We start from the raw sequence: 12812 nt of genomic DNA, 5'->3' as shown, positions 1-12812 counted from the left end.
AGAAACCTATAAACTGCCATCTTTTAAATACAGTACTGTAAAAAGAAGTTATCTTCTTTTAAATACAGTACTGTAAAAAGAAGTTATCTAGAAAAGTTATTAAAGAGAGAAATAATTTATATAAGAAAAACCGCTAAGGCCAGGTGCGGTGGCTCATGCCTGTAATCCCAGCACTTTGGGAGGCCGAGGCAGGCAGATCACGAGGTCAGCGTTCGAGATCAGCCTGGCCAACATGGTGAAACCCCATCTCTACTAAAGATACAAAAAATTAGCCAGCTGTGTTGGCGCATGCCTGTAATCCCAGCTACTCGAGAATTGCTTGAACCCGGGAGGTGGAGGTTTCAGTGGGCTGAGATTGCGCCATTACACTCCAGCCTGGGAGTGACTCCATCACACCCCCCACCAAAAAAAAAAAAAAAGAAAGAAAAACAGCTAAAAGCAAAATAGCTAAGTACAGTATAAATTAACATTTTAAAAGCTTTCTTAAATAGTAAGTCACAAAAATGCTAACTCATATCAAAGAAAAACAAATGTAGCTATATTAAAATTAAACATCTGATTTATCCCAGGATTCAAGGGTGGTAATAAACCACATTAACAGAATGAAGGAAAAAAAATGATCATCTCCACTGATACAGAAAAAGCATCTGACAGATTCAGCACCGCTTCAGGACAGTGGTTCCCTAGGGTGGAAGGAGGCAGGGGGATAGGACAGAGAAGGAGCCCATGAGCAGCTCTAAGTTATGATGATGACTCTAGTTTTCTTGCTGGGAGGTGGGATCATGGATGCTGGCTATTATAACTGGATGGACAGAGAGACAGGATGGATAGATGGATACATAAAACAGAACCAGGATCAAGCATAGACTAGTAATGAGAGTAAATTACTCATTACAATCATATCTAGTCCAATTCTAGGTACTTGAGGTCCAAAAGAAAAAGCAATTTTAAGAGCTTATCTAAAGAAACAAACTGCAGATTCAGAATTCTAAAATGCGTTGGATTATAGCTATAAAGTATAATGGTACTTTAAGTACAATACATCAAGTTTTAATCCTTTAGGGGTATCCTAAGGAAATGGAAATACATCTTTCAACCTTAATCAGAATGTTAAAATAAAAAAGTTTGAGCTAGCTCACCTCTTCTTGAATATACTGTAATAAGAAGGGAGATGCTCTTAAATTGTCAACAGGAATATTGAAGAAGCCCTGAATTTCCTTCTGGTGTAAATCCATAGTAATAAGATGAGTTAGACCTTTGAAAATAAAGCAGACACAAGCAATAAATAGTTTTGTTTTTGTTTTTTTTTTTTAAGATGGGATCCCATTCTGTCACCCAGGCTGGAGTGCAGTGGCATGACCATAGCTAACTGCAGCCTTGAACTCCTAGGCTGAAGCAATCCTCTCACCTCAGCCTTGAAAGTAGCTGGGAATACAGGTGCATGCCACCACGCCCAGATAATTCTGTATTTTTAGTAGAGAAGGGGTTTCATCATATTGGCCAGGTTGGTCTCGAACTCCTGACCTCAAGTAATCCTCCTGCCTCAGCCTCCCAAAGTGCTGGGAATACAGGCATGAGCCACTGCACCCAGCCTATAAACAGTTTAAAAACAAGTTGCACTGTATAAAATAGGTACTACATAAAATACTATATACAATAAGTTACTATTAAAAAATTGCTCTCCAGCCGGGCACTGTGGCTCACGCCTGTAATCCCAGCACTTTGGGAGGGCGAGGTGGGTGGATCACAAGGTCAGGAGTTCAACGCCAGCCTGACCAATATGATGAAACCCCATCTTTACTAAAAATACAAAAATTAGCTGGGCGTGGTGGCGTGTGCCTGTAGTCCCAGCTACTTGGGAGGCTGAGGCAGAAGAATAGCTTGAATCCGGGAGGCAGAGGTTGCAGTGAGCCAAGATCATGCCACTGCACTCCAGCCTGGGTGACAGAGCAAGACTCCGTCTCAAAAAAAAAAAAAAAATTGCTCTCATGGCCGGGCACAGTGGCTCACGCCTGTAATCCTAGCACTTTGAAGGCCAAGGCTGACAAACTGCTTGAGCTCAGGAGTTTGAGATCAGCCTGGGGAACATGGCAAAACCCCGCCTCTACAAAACAAAAATTAGCCAGGCATGGTGGCGCACATCTGTAGTCCCAGATACTCAGGAGGCTAAGGTGGGAGAATCGCTTCAGTGCAGAAGGTCAAGGCTGCAAGTGAGCTGAGATTGAGCCACTGCATTCCAGTCTGGGTGACAGAGTGAGATCTTGCCTCAAAAAAATAAAAAATAAGGCCGGACACGGTGGCTCACGCCTGTAATCCCAGCACTTTGGGAGGCCGAGGCGGGTGGATCACCTGAGGTCAGGAGTTGGAGACCAGCCTGGCCAACATGGCGAAACCTCATCTCTACTAAAAACACAAAAATTAGCCAGGCATGGTGGCACGTGCCCATAATCCCAGCTACTCGGGAGGCTGAGGCAGGAGAATTCGCTTGAACCTGGGGGGGCGGAGGTTGCAGTGAGCCGAGATCGCACCACTTCACTCCGACCTGGGTGAAAGGGGGAGACTTGGTCTCAAAAAAAAAAAGACAAAATTGTTCTACCATCAAAAAAACTCAGCACTTGTATTTTTCAAAAAAAATTTTTTTTTTTTTAGTACTGTGAGATGCCTGATTTTCACATCAATTTAAAGTCTTGGTCAGGTGCGATGGCTCACAGCTGTAATCCCAGCACTTTGGAAGGCTGAGGCAGGCGGATCACCTGAGGTCAGGAGTTCAAGACCAGCCTGGCCAACACGGTGAAACCCCGTCTCTACTAAAAATACAAAAATTAGCCAAGTGTGGTGGCATGTGCCTGTAATCTCAGCTTCTAGGGAGGCTGAGGCAGGAGAATCACTTGAATCCAGGAGGTGGAGGTTGCAGTGAGCTGAGATCATGCCACTGCACTCCAGCCTGGGCGACAGAGCGAGACTCCATCTCGAAAAAATAAATAAATAAAAAATAGTCATAATATAGCAAAGATAACAGTAATACAGAAGAGTCTTTAAAAATTATATTAGAGCAGATCAAATCTTCTTGAAGTTTAACAGGCATGGCAAAGTCCAGTCTTAAGATAACAAGTCAGCCGGGTGTGGTGGCTCATGCCTGTAAACCCAGCACTTTGGGAGGCCGAGGCAGGAGTATCACTTGAGCCCAGGTGTTTGAAAATGGCCTGGGCCACATGGTGAGACTCCATTTCTACTAAAAATACAAAAAACTAGTCAGGTATGGTGATGCATGCCTGTAGTCCCTAGTTACTCTGGAAGCTAAGGTCGGAGGATCACTTGAACCCAGGAGGTCAAGGCTACCTCCTGGTAGTGAGCAGTGATCACACCACTGCACCCCAGCCCGGGCAAGAGGACTGAGACCCATGGGGAAAAAAAAAGATATCAAGACAAACTGCACCAGCCTGGAAATTGGAGAAAACAGAAAACCTTCACCACCTTTGTAACGATCACCAGAAAAGTGTAAGGAAAATTCAGTATGAAAAATTGTTTAAAGCATTACTTGCCCAAAAGAACAGGAAAGTAAGTCTGGAGGCCCATCAAGCAAGGCTGGTAGAGAAGATGGGCCCTTTCCTGAAGATTCAGCAGGCAAGCCTGCTCTCCTCACCAGCTGCCTGTCATAGTGTTTACAATGGGGTAGGCTCCTGAGGTTGCTTCGGGTTGAGTTTTTAATTTTATTTTTATTTTTTTGAGACGGAGTTTTGCTCTTGTTGCCCAGGCTGGAGTGCAACGGCATGATCTTGGTTCACCACAACCTCCACCTCCCGGGTTCAAGCAATTCTCCTGCCTCAGACTCCCGAGTAGCTGGGATTACAGGCATGTGTCACCACACCCGGCTAATTTTGTATTGTTAGTAGAGACGGGGTTTTTCCATGTTGGTTAGGCTGCTCTGAACTCCCAACCTCAGGTGATCGCCCCCTGGTTCTCCCAAAGTGCTGGGATTACAGGCGTGAGCCACCACACCCTGCCTAGTTTTTAAATGTTTGTTTTACGTTTGCCTTTACTGAAAAACTATCTTAGAAAGTTTATTCTGGGCTGGGCGTGGTGGCTCACGCCTGTAATCCCAACACTTTGGGAGGCTGAGGAAGGTGGATCACCTGAGGTCAAGAGTTCGAGACAAGCATGGCCAACATGGTGAAACCTCGTCTCTACTAAAAATACAAAAATTAGCCAGGCGTGGTGGTGGGCGCCAGTAATCCCAGCTACTCAGGAGGCTGAGGCAGGTGAATCGCTTAAACCCAGGAAGTGGAGGTTGCGGTGAGCCGAGATCACGCTACTGCACTCCAGCCTGGATGACAGGTGAGACTCAAAAATAAAAAATAAAAATAATAATAATTAGTTGGGCATGTTGGTGTGTGCCTGCAATCCCAGCTACTCTGGGGGCTGAGGCAGGAGAATTGCTTGAACCCGGGTGGTGGAGGTTGCAGTGAGCCAAGATCACGTCATTGCACTCCAGACTGGGCAACAGAGCAAGACTCCGTCTCAAAAAACAAACAAAAAAAAAGGTTTATTCTACAGTAAGTACCTGTCTTAAAATGCAGTGATATGGGGACTTTTATTCTATTCACTCTGTGCAAATGCTCCGTGATACATACCTTCTAAAATCATATACATTCAGGCTGGCTATGGTGGCTTGTGTCTGTAATCCCAGAATTTTAGGAGCCCAAAGCAGGTGGATCACTTGAGGTCAGGAGTTCGAGACCAGCCTGGCCAACATGGCAAAACCCCATCTCTACTAAAAATACAAAAATTAGCTGAGTGTGGTGGCAGGCACCTGTAGTCCCAGCTACTAGAGAAGCTAAGGTACAAAAATCGCTTGAACCCAGGAGACAGTGGTTGCAGTGAGCCGAGGTGCCACCACTGCACTCCAGCCTGGGCAACGGAGCAAGACTCCGTCTCAAAAAATAAATAAACAGAATAAAAATTAAAATAAAAAAATCATAGGCCGGGTGCAGTGGCTTACGCCTGTAATCCCAGCACTTTGGGAGTCTGAGGCGGGGTCGGGAGTTTGAGACCAGCCTGACCAACATGGAGAAACCCTGTCTCTACTAAAAATACAAAATTAGCCGGGCGTGGTGGCGCATGCCTGTAATCCCAGCTACTTGGGAGGCTGAGGCAGGAGAATCGCTTGAACCGGGGAGGTGGAGGTTGTGGTGAGCGAAGATCATGCCATTGCACTCCAGCCTGGGCAACAGGAGCGAAACTCCATCTCAAAATAAATAAATAAATAAATAAAATCATATACACTTATACAAGCGCGCACACACACAAACACAAATATATTGACACAAATACCCAATAACAACTATGAAGGTTATTTAGAAACACAGGAAAAATACTTAGGTTGTTACCTGAAAATGCCTGACACAGAATAATATGTATCTTTTCCAATATATGCCTATCTAGGCAGGCACGGTGGTATATGTCCATAGTTCCAACTACTCAGGGGGATCACTTGAGCCCAGGAGTTCAAAGATCATCCCACATAGCTTCCCAAAGCATTGGGATTGCAGGCGTGAGCTGCTGTGCCCAGCCATTACTTTGATATTTCTAAGGTAAAAATAAAACTCCAGCAGGGTATGGTGGTTCATGACTATAATCTCAGCACCCTGGGAGGCTGGAGCAGAAACATCCCTTGAGGCCAGCAGTTCAAAACCAGCCTGAACAACATAGTAAGACCCAGTATCTACAAAAAATTTAAAAATTAGCAGGCAGGGTGGTATGTGCCTATAGTCCTAGCTACTTGGGAGGCTCTGGTGGACTGCTTGACTGTAGGAGTTCAAGTTGCAGTGAGCTATGATCACGCCACTACACTCCAGCCTAGGTGACAGGGCAAGACCCTGTCTTAAAAAAGAGAGAATAAATAAATAAAACTCCCAGGCCCCCAATTAATTGTGAAACATCTGCCATTCTTACCAGCTTTGCACATCATGGAAGCCAGCAATTTAGAGACAATGGAGCCTCTTTTTCTCATCTTGCACTGCTTGCTGTAAGGAAAGTAGGGTATCACGCCAATGATGCTCTTGGCACAAGAGGTCTTACATGCATACACCATGATCAGGAGCTCCATGATGGTGGTGTTCACGTCCCTGTAACAAAGACACAGCAAATCTCATCAAGGGATCTACAACACAGTATTCCCTGTTCCAAAAAGTGTCAGCAGTGTGTTACTCATGCCTTTATACAACCTAAGGTGCAAGGCAGAAAAAAACCAACCAATAAATTCCTCTTTTCTCAGGCCTCCATAAGATCCCCCATCATCTGCTCTCAACTGACCACCCTACTTAAGTACTCTCAGAGGAGCGTGTCCACAAGCTCCCACTATGTGCATCTGTGCCCCAGGAGTCGGCCTGCCCTCAGTCATCAGTCAGAGGAAATTTCCATGCCAGTGGCCCTAAAATTAATCCCTCCAAATGGCACACCTATGTAAGGAATTCTCTCTCCTCTCCTGCCTCCACCACTGATAACCCATCGGCCACAAACATTCTGTTACTTCCATTAACACGACTCATAACCACTCTCCCCTCTGCTCCCCTTTGCTGTACATCTTACACTATCTCCAATTTATCTACTCTCAGTCTCTCCCAAATAGTCCAGTGAAGCTTTGTTTTCATAAAGGTCATCAGTGGCCTCCATGCGGCCATGTCCACGGTCACTTGGCTTCCAGAATGCCCCTCTCTGGTGTCCTCCTTCCACCCTTGGTTTCTTTTGCTGGTTCCTCTTCTCCCCAGCCTCACGTCCCAGGACTTGCTCATGTGTCCTCTCTTTCTGTTCCCTCTCGTCCTTTGGGCTTCTCATCTAATTTCACAGCTTCATAGATGGTGGCAACTCTCAAATTTACAACTCCAGTCCAAACTTGAGGATCTGCCCCTCCCCTCCTGCCTGGCCACACCTGACCCTGTTCAGTCCTCCCACAGCAGCTCACACCGCTAAGGGGCTTGCTCTAGGCGTTCCCACTGCCTGCAATGCTTTTCTCCCCACCTAGTCACCTGACTCTCCCTCACCTTCTCTAGTCTCTGTTCAAATGTCACCTCCACAATGAGGCCTACCCTGTCTGCCTCTCTCTGCCCTCTCACCACTATCATCTCACCATGCTGTCTTATTTTTTTCCAAACCATTCATCACCTTCTAGATAATCTATGTCTTTATTATGCTCACTTTATGTCTTCCTCCACTGGAATATAAACTCCACAAGGACAAGGACTTTCTCTGTTTTAATCATGGAGGCATCCTGCATACGTGTAACTAACTGTAATTCACATATTGTAGACATTCAAAATAAGTATTTGTTAATGAAAGAAGGAGTGAATGGAAACACAGAACATTCAGGTGAGTAGGTTCTCTGTCACTATACAACAAGTCTGACATCTGATGAGTTAAAAGAGACTTTCACCCTGTTAATTAACTTAGGAAAAAAAAAGATTTTCAGAAAAGTATTCTATGGGAAGGATAAGAGTGGAGGAACAAGGCTTTCCATTACTGAACTCAGATAAGGACAGTCTTGTTTGAAATACAGGAAAACTTCAGTTAATGGATGGAATTTTCTTAATTTTAAATTTCTCTTTTATTTTTAGTGCTAGCACTAATCTGTAGTAAAATGAAGTATAAGATGTATCTGACAACACTAAATCATTTTTTTGTTTGTTTGTTTTTGAGACGGAGTTCTGCTCTTGTTGCCCAGGCTGGAGTGCAATGGCATGATCTCGGCTCACCGCAACCTCCGCCTCCCAGGATCAAGCAATTCTCCTGTCTCAGCCTCCCGAGTAGCTGAGATCACAGGCATGCGCCACCATGCCCGGCTAATTTTGCATTTTTAGCAGAGAGAGCGTTTCTCCATGTTGGTCAGGCTGGTCTTGAACTCCCGACCTCAGGTGATCTGCACGCCTGGGGCCTCCCAAAGTGGTGGGATTACAGGCTTTTTTTTTTTTTTTTTGAGACAGAGTCTCACTCTATCACCCAGCCTGGAGTATAGTGGCGCCATCTTGGCTCACTGCACCCTCTGTCTCCTGGGTTCAAGCGATTCTCATGCCTCAGCCTCCCAAGTAGCTGGAATTAGAAGCGCATATCACCACGCCCAGCTAATTTTTGTATTTTCAGTAGAGACAGGGTTTCACCATGTTGGCCAGGCTGGTCTTGAACTCCTGATCTGCCCGCCTCGGCCTCCCAAAGCTCTGGGATTATAGGTGTAAGCCACCTCGCCCAGCCTTTTTTTTTTTTACTTCGAGATGGAGCCTTGTTCTTTTACCCAGGCTGGAATCCAGTGGCGTGATCTCAGCTCACTACAACCTCTGCCTCCTGCGTTCAAGCAATTCTCGTGCCTCAGCCACCTGAGTAGCTGGGACTACAGGCGCTCATGACCATGCCCAGCTAATTTTTTGTATTTTTAGTAAAGACAGGGTTTCACCGTGTTGGCCTGGCTGGTCTCAAACTCCTGGCCTCAACTGATATGCCCACCTCGACCTCCCAAAGTGCTAGGATTACAGGCATGAGCCACCACATCTGGCCCTCAACACTAAATGTTATTTCATGGTATTTCACAAAGAAGACCATGACGTCCAGACTCTGCAACATGGACAAGACTGAGAACCCGAGTTAACACAAGCTTATGTCAGGTATGGAACAATGCAAAATGAGACACGGAGAGAAAATGAAAGGGGTGCTGAGTGATTCTGATTAGAGGAATATGAAACTGACAAAAGACAGGGGCACAGGATAAGTATTGAAATGTACAAAAATAAACAACCAGAAGGACTTGAAAATGAGAAGGATCAGCAGTCACCCTTCTGAAGTCCTAAATTCTAAGTCCAGGGGTGCCCTCAATGCCTACCCATCCCCTTGGGTAATCCACACAACCTCTGTGCATTTATCCAATGGAATCACACTTGTCTGTAAGGACATAAAAGTACCACAGACACAGAAACCAAGGAGCCAGAAGCCGTTTAAGTTGTTCTGTGCCCGCCCCTTCCCTACCCCGATGCTGGAGGTAAAGGGTTAAGATGTGGGCACAGGTGAGTCCTCCACTTCCACCCTGGTTTGGTGGCAGACGTGGGAAAGGGGAAAGAGGACAGCAGCAGCAGGGGCAGTTGGCGCTCCGTGCCCCCACCTCCAGCTCTGCTGAGAATCCTGGGTGTCACAGCAGAAGGTGAAGCTAGGGCACCGTGGCAAAGGCCCTCCACACCCTTCCTCCTTCAGAGCACACCCGTTTGCCAGGGCTATAGGATGCAAGGACAGGTCTCCCCTGCCACTCCTCTTCCCAGGAGAGATGGGGGTTTTGTGACTTCATCCCAATAAACCAAAGACCAGGAGAGAAAATGTTCAAAATTTAGGTGAAAAAAATGTGTGTTCCAAGACTAAAGTCTCCCGAAATGGCCTTCTTTTTCCCTTTCGTTGGTTTTATATATGTATATACACAAATTAAGCATGCAGCAACTTTCAGACTCTCTAAGCTAAAAAATAATGCACTAGACAAACTGATTTCTAGACATTAAAAATTGTTCTGAGCGAAGAACTTCATACACAGAAGCATTTAGGGACATTTGTGGACAAACACACAATGGAAAGTGGGGCTTTAAGGCCAGGTGTGATAGGCTCACCTTCTATATTGCTGGAATCTCAGCAATATAGGAGGTCAAGGCAGGAGGATCACTTGAGGCCAAAAGTTTGAGACCAGCTGGGCAATACAGTGAGACCTCCATCTCTACAAAAAATGAAAAAACGAGGTGAGCATGCTGGTGCATGCCTGTAGTCCCAGCTACTTGGGAGGCTGAGGGAGGAGGATAGTTTGAGCCCAGGAGTTTGAAGTTGTAGTGAGTTATGATCTCACCACTGCACTCCAGACTGGACAACAGAGCAAGACTCTACCTCTTAGAAAAAAGAAAAAGAAAAAAAAAAAGTAGGGCTCCAGGTGATCACCCTCCCTTCCAGAGTGCCAGAGACAGCCTTGCTGCATTGAATCTTCTATACCTAGCTTAAACATATGTGACCAAACAATTTCCAGAACACAGGTGTGTCAAAGGTCACACCAGACAGGAATACACATTCCTTCAGTACAGTTTTTTATCCTCTCAGCTAATTTATGTAATAAAACAGTAAATAATGATCACTTTTATATGCAATAAAAGCTTAAAGAACCCCAACTAAGAAAGGTCTCCTCCCCTAGCCTCTGTTTCTTTTGGGGAGAGGAGGGAACTAGAAATGCTTCCTTGCAAGTTTTACAAAATTCTGGCTGTTAATTGTTAGGAAACTTAATGTATACTATTATCATTAACAGCCTCTACTCCAGGCTGGGCGCAGTGGCTCACGCCTGTAATCCCAGCACTTTGGGAGGCTGAGGCAGGTGGATCACCTGAGGTCGGGAGTTCAAGACCAGCCTGACCAACATGGAGAAACCCTGTCTCTACTAGAAACACAAAATTAACCGGGCGTGGTGACACATGCCTATAATCCCAGCTGCTCAGGAGGCTGAGGCAGAATTGCTTGAACCTGGGAAGCAGAGGTTGCGGTAAGCTGAGGTTGCGGTAAGCCGAGATCGCGTCATTGCACTCCAGCCTGGGCAACAAGAGTGAAATTCTGTCTCAAAAAAAAAAAAAAAAAAAGAGCCTCTACTCCAATACTTGGTTATTTCCACCCGTTAAGAACACTGAGTGGCTGGACACGGTGGCTCATACCTGTAATCCCACCACTTTGGTAGGCCGAGGCGGGCAGATTGCGTGAGGTCAGGAGTTCAAGACCAGTCTGGCCAACATGGTGAAACCCCGTCTCTACTAAAAATACAAAAATTAGCCAGGCGTGGTGGCGCCAACTGTAGTACCAGCTACTCGGGAGGCTGAGGCAAGAGAATCACTAGAACCTGGGAGGAGGTGGTTACAGTGAGCTGAGATTGCACCACTGCACTCCAGCCTGGGTGAAGGAGTGGGACTTTGTCTCAAAAAAAAAAAGAAAGAAAGAAGGAAAAACACTGAAAGAACATGTAAAAGTCAGCAGTTATGTCAGAAAACTTAGTTTTCTAAATTCTAAATTGGTAAGATATACTAATTTTAAGACTATTATAACTCTTCCTGGCTAGCCATCTATCATTATTTTAAACACTCATGCCTAAACTGAAACCCAGAAAGCAACACTTTTGCTGGATACTCACTTCGAAACAGTTTGGATGATGAAAACATCTTTTCCCCTCACAGACTCTTGAATTTGTACTCTTGTTTCTGGCAGGAAAAGGAAAAAGAAGAGAGGGAAAGGCATATAGTTCAAATTTTTCAAAATACACAAAAAAATCTGTATTATTCCCTAATGTAATAGAATATGGCAACTCAAACTGTTATAAGACTCAGTAGGCTTTAGATGTTACAAGGGATAATACACATACTGCCATTAATCACTTTTTAAAACACAGCTTTAAGAGAGAATTACATTTCTGACTTGAAATAAGTAAATGTATAATTCTCACCCCTTATATATACAAACAGTTGAGTGCTGTACCACTCCGAGCATGGTAACTTTTTTTTTTTTTTTTTTGAGACGGAGTCTTGCTCTGTCGCCCACGCTGGAATGCAGTGGTGCGATCTTGGCTCACTGCAAGCTCTGCCTCCTGGGTTCATGCCATTCTCCTGCCTCAGCCTCCCGAGTGGCTGGAACTACAGGCGCCCGCCACCACATCCAGCTAACTGTTTTGTATTTTTTTAGTAGAGACAGGGTTTCACCATGTTAGCCAGGATGGTCTCGATCTCCTGACCTCGCGATCTGCCTGCCTCAGCCTCCCAAAGTACTGGGATTACAGGTGTGAGCTACCGTGCCCAGCCTGAGCACAGTATCTTTATAGACAATCATAGGCCAGGCACAGTGGCTCATGCCTGTAATCCCAGCACTTTGGGAGGCCAAGGCGGGCAAATCACCTGAGGTTAGGAGTTCGAGACCAGCCTGACCAACATAGAGAAACCCCGTCTCTACTAAAAATACAAAATTAGCCAGGCGTGGTGGTGCATGCCTATAATCCTAGCTACTCGGGAGGCTGAGGCAGGAGAATCGCTTGAACCCAGGAGGCGGAGGTTGCGGTGAGCCGAGATTGTGCCATTGCACTCCAGCCTGGGCAACAAGAGCGAAACTCCGTCTCAAAAAAAAAAAAAAAAAAAAAAAAGAAAATTATATACTCATTCAATCAGCATCAATTATCAATTCAGAATGTATTAGGTACAAAACATTGTATGTTGTGAGAAACAAAGATAAATAAGACCTAATATCCCTACTCTCAAAATATGTGTGATCAGTCATAAAGAAACAATTAGACAAATCCATAATGGGACATTCTACAAGACAACCTCTTCACTGTCACAGGAAGAAAACGGAAGAGGTGAGGGGATTGTTCTAAAATAGAAGAGACTAAAGAGATATTTTTTAAAAAAAATCCCTTGAACTAAGAATCCTGGTTTGGGGTGGAGGTGTTGGAAAAAACAACTATAAAAGACCCTTTAGGCTGGGCACGGTGGCTCACACATGTAATACCAGAACTTTGGGAGGCCCAGGCAGGCGGATAATCTGAGGTTAGGTGTTTAAGGCTAGCCTGGCCAACATGGTGAAACCTCGTCTCTACTAAAAATACAAACATTAGCTGGGCTTGGTGGCACACACCTATAATCCCAGCTACTCAGGAGGCTGAGGCAGGAGAACTGCTTGAACCTGGGAGGCAGAGGTTGCAGTAAGCCAAGATCGCACCACTGCACTCCAGCCTGGGTGACAAAGCCAGATTCCATCTCAAAAAAATAAAAAATAAAAGACCCTTT

At 45.2% G+C, this 12812-nt stretch overlaps 1 protein-coding gene across 20 annotated transcripts in view; it reads right to left on the bottom strand.

The window, feature by feature from the left end:
- PRPSAP2 (phosphoribosyl pyrophosphate synthetase associated protein 2) overlaps nucleotides 1–12812 on the bottom strand; it is a 74989-nt gene that overhangs the window by 47465 nt on the left and 14712 nt on the right. For 19 of the 20 annotated variants that reach the window (NM_001243942.1, XM_047436415.1, NM_001353106.2 and 16 more), the window contains 3 exons: nucleotides 11174–11240; nucleotides 5953–6125; nucleotides 1140–1255 (listed from right to left, as the gene is read on the bottom strand). In NM_001243942.1, coding sequence (NP_001230871.1) covers nucleotides 1140–1255; nucleotides 5953–6106 — 270 coding nt within the window. In that variant the 5' untranslated portion in view covers nucleotides 6107–6125; nucleotides 11174–11240. The remainder of the gene's footprint in view (nucleotides 1–1139; nucleotides 1256–5952; nucleotides 6126–11173; nucleotides 11241–12812) is intronic. The other variant, NM_001243936.2, reaches the window with a different exon arrangement.

Source organism: Homo sapiens, chromosome 17 (genome assembly GCF_000001405.40).
Source record: "Homo sapiens chromosome 17, GRCh38.p14 Primary Assembly".
NCBI lineage: Eukaryota > Metazoa > Chordata > Mammalia > Primates > Hominidae > Homo > Homo sapiens.
This window is presented reverse-complemented; position numbering and strand designations above follow the sequence as displayed.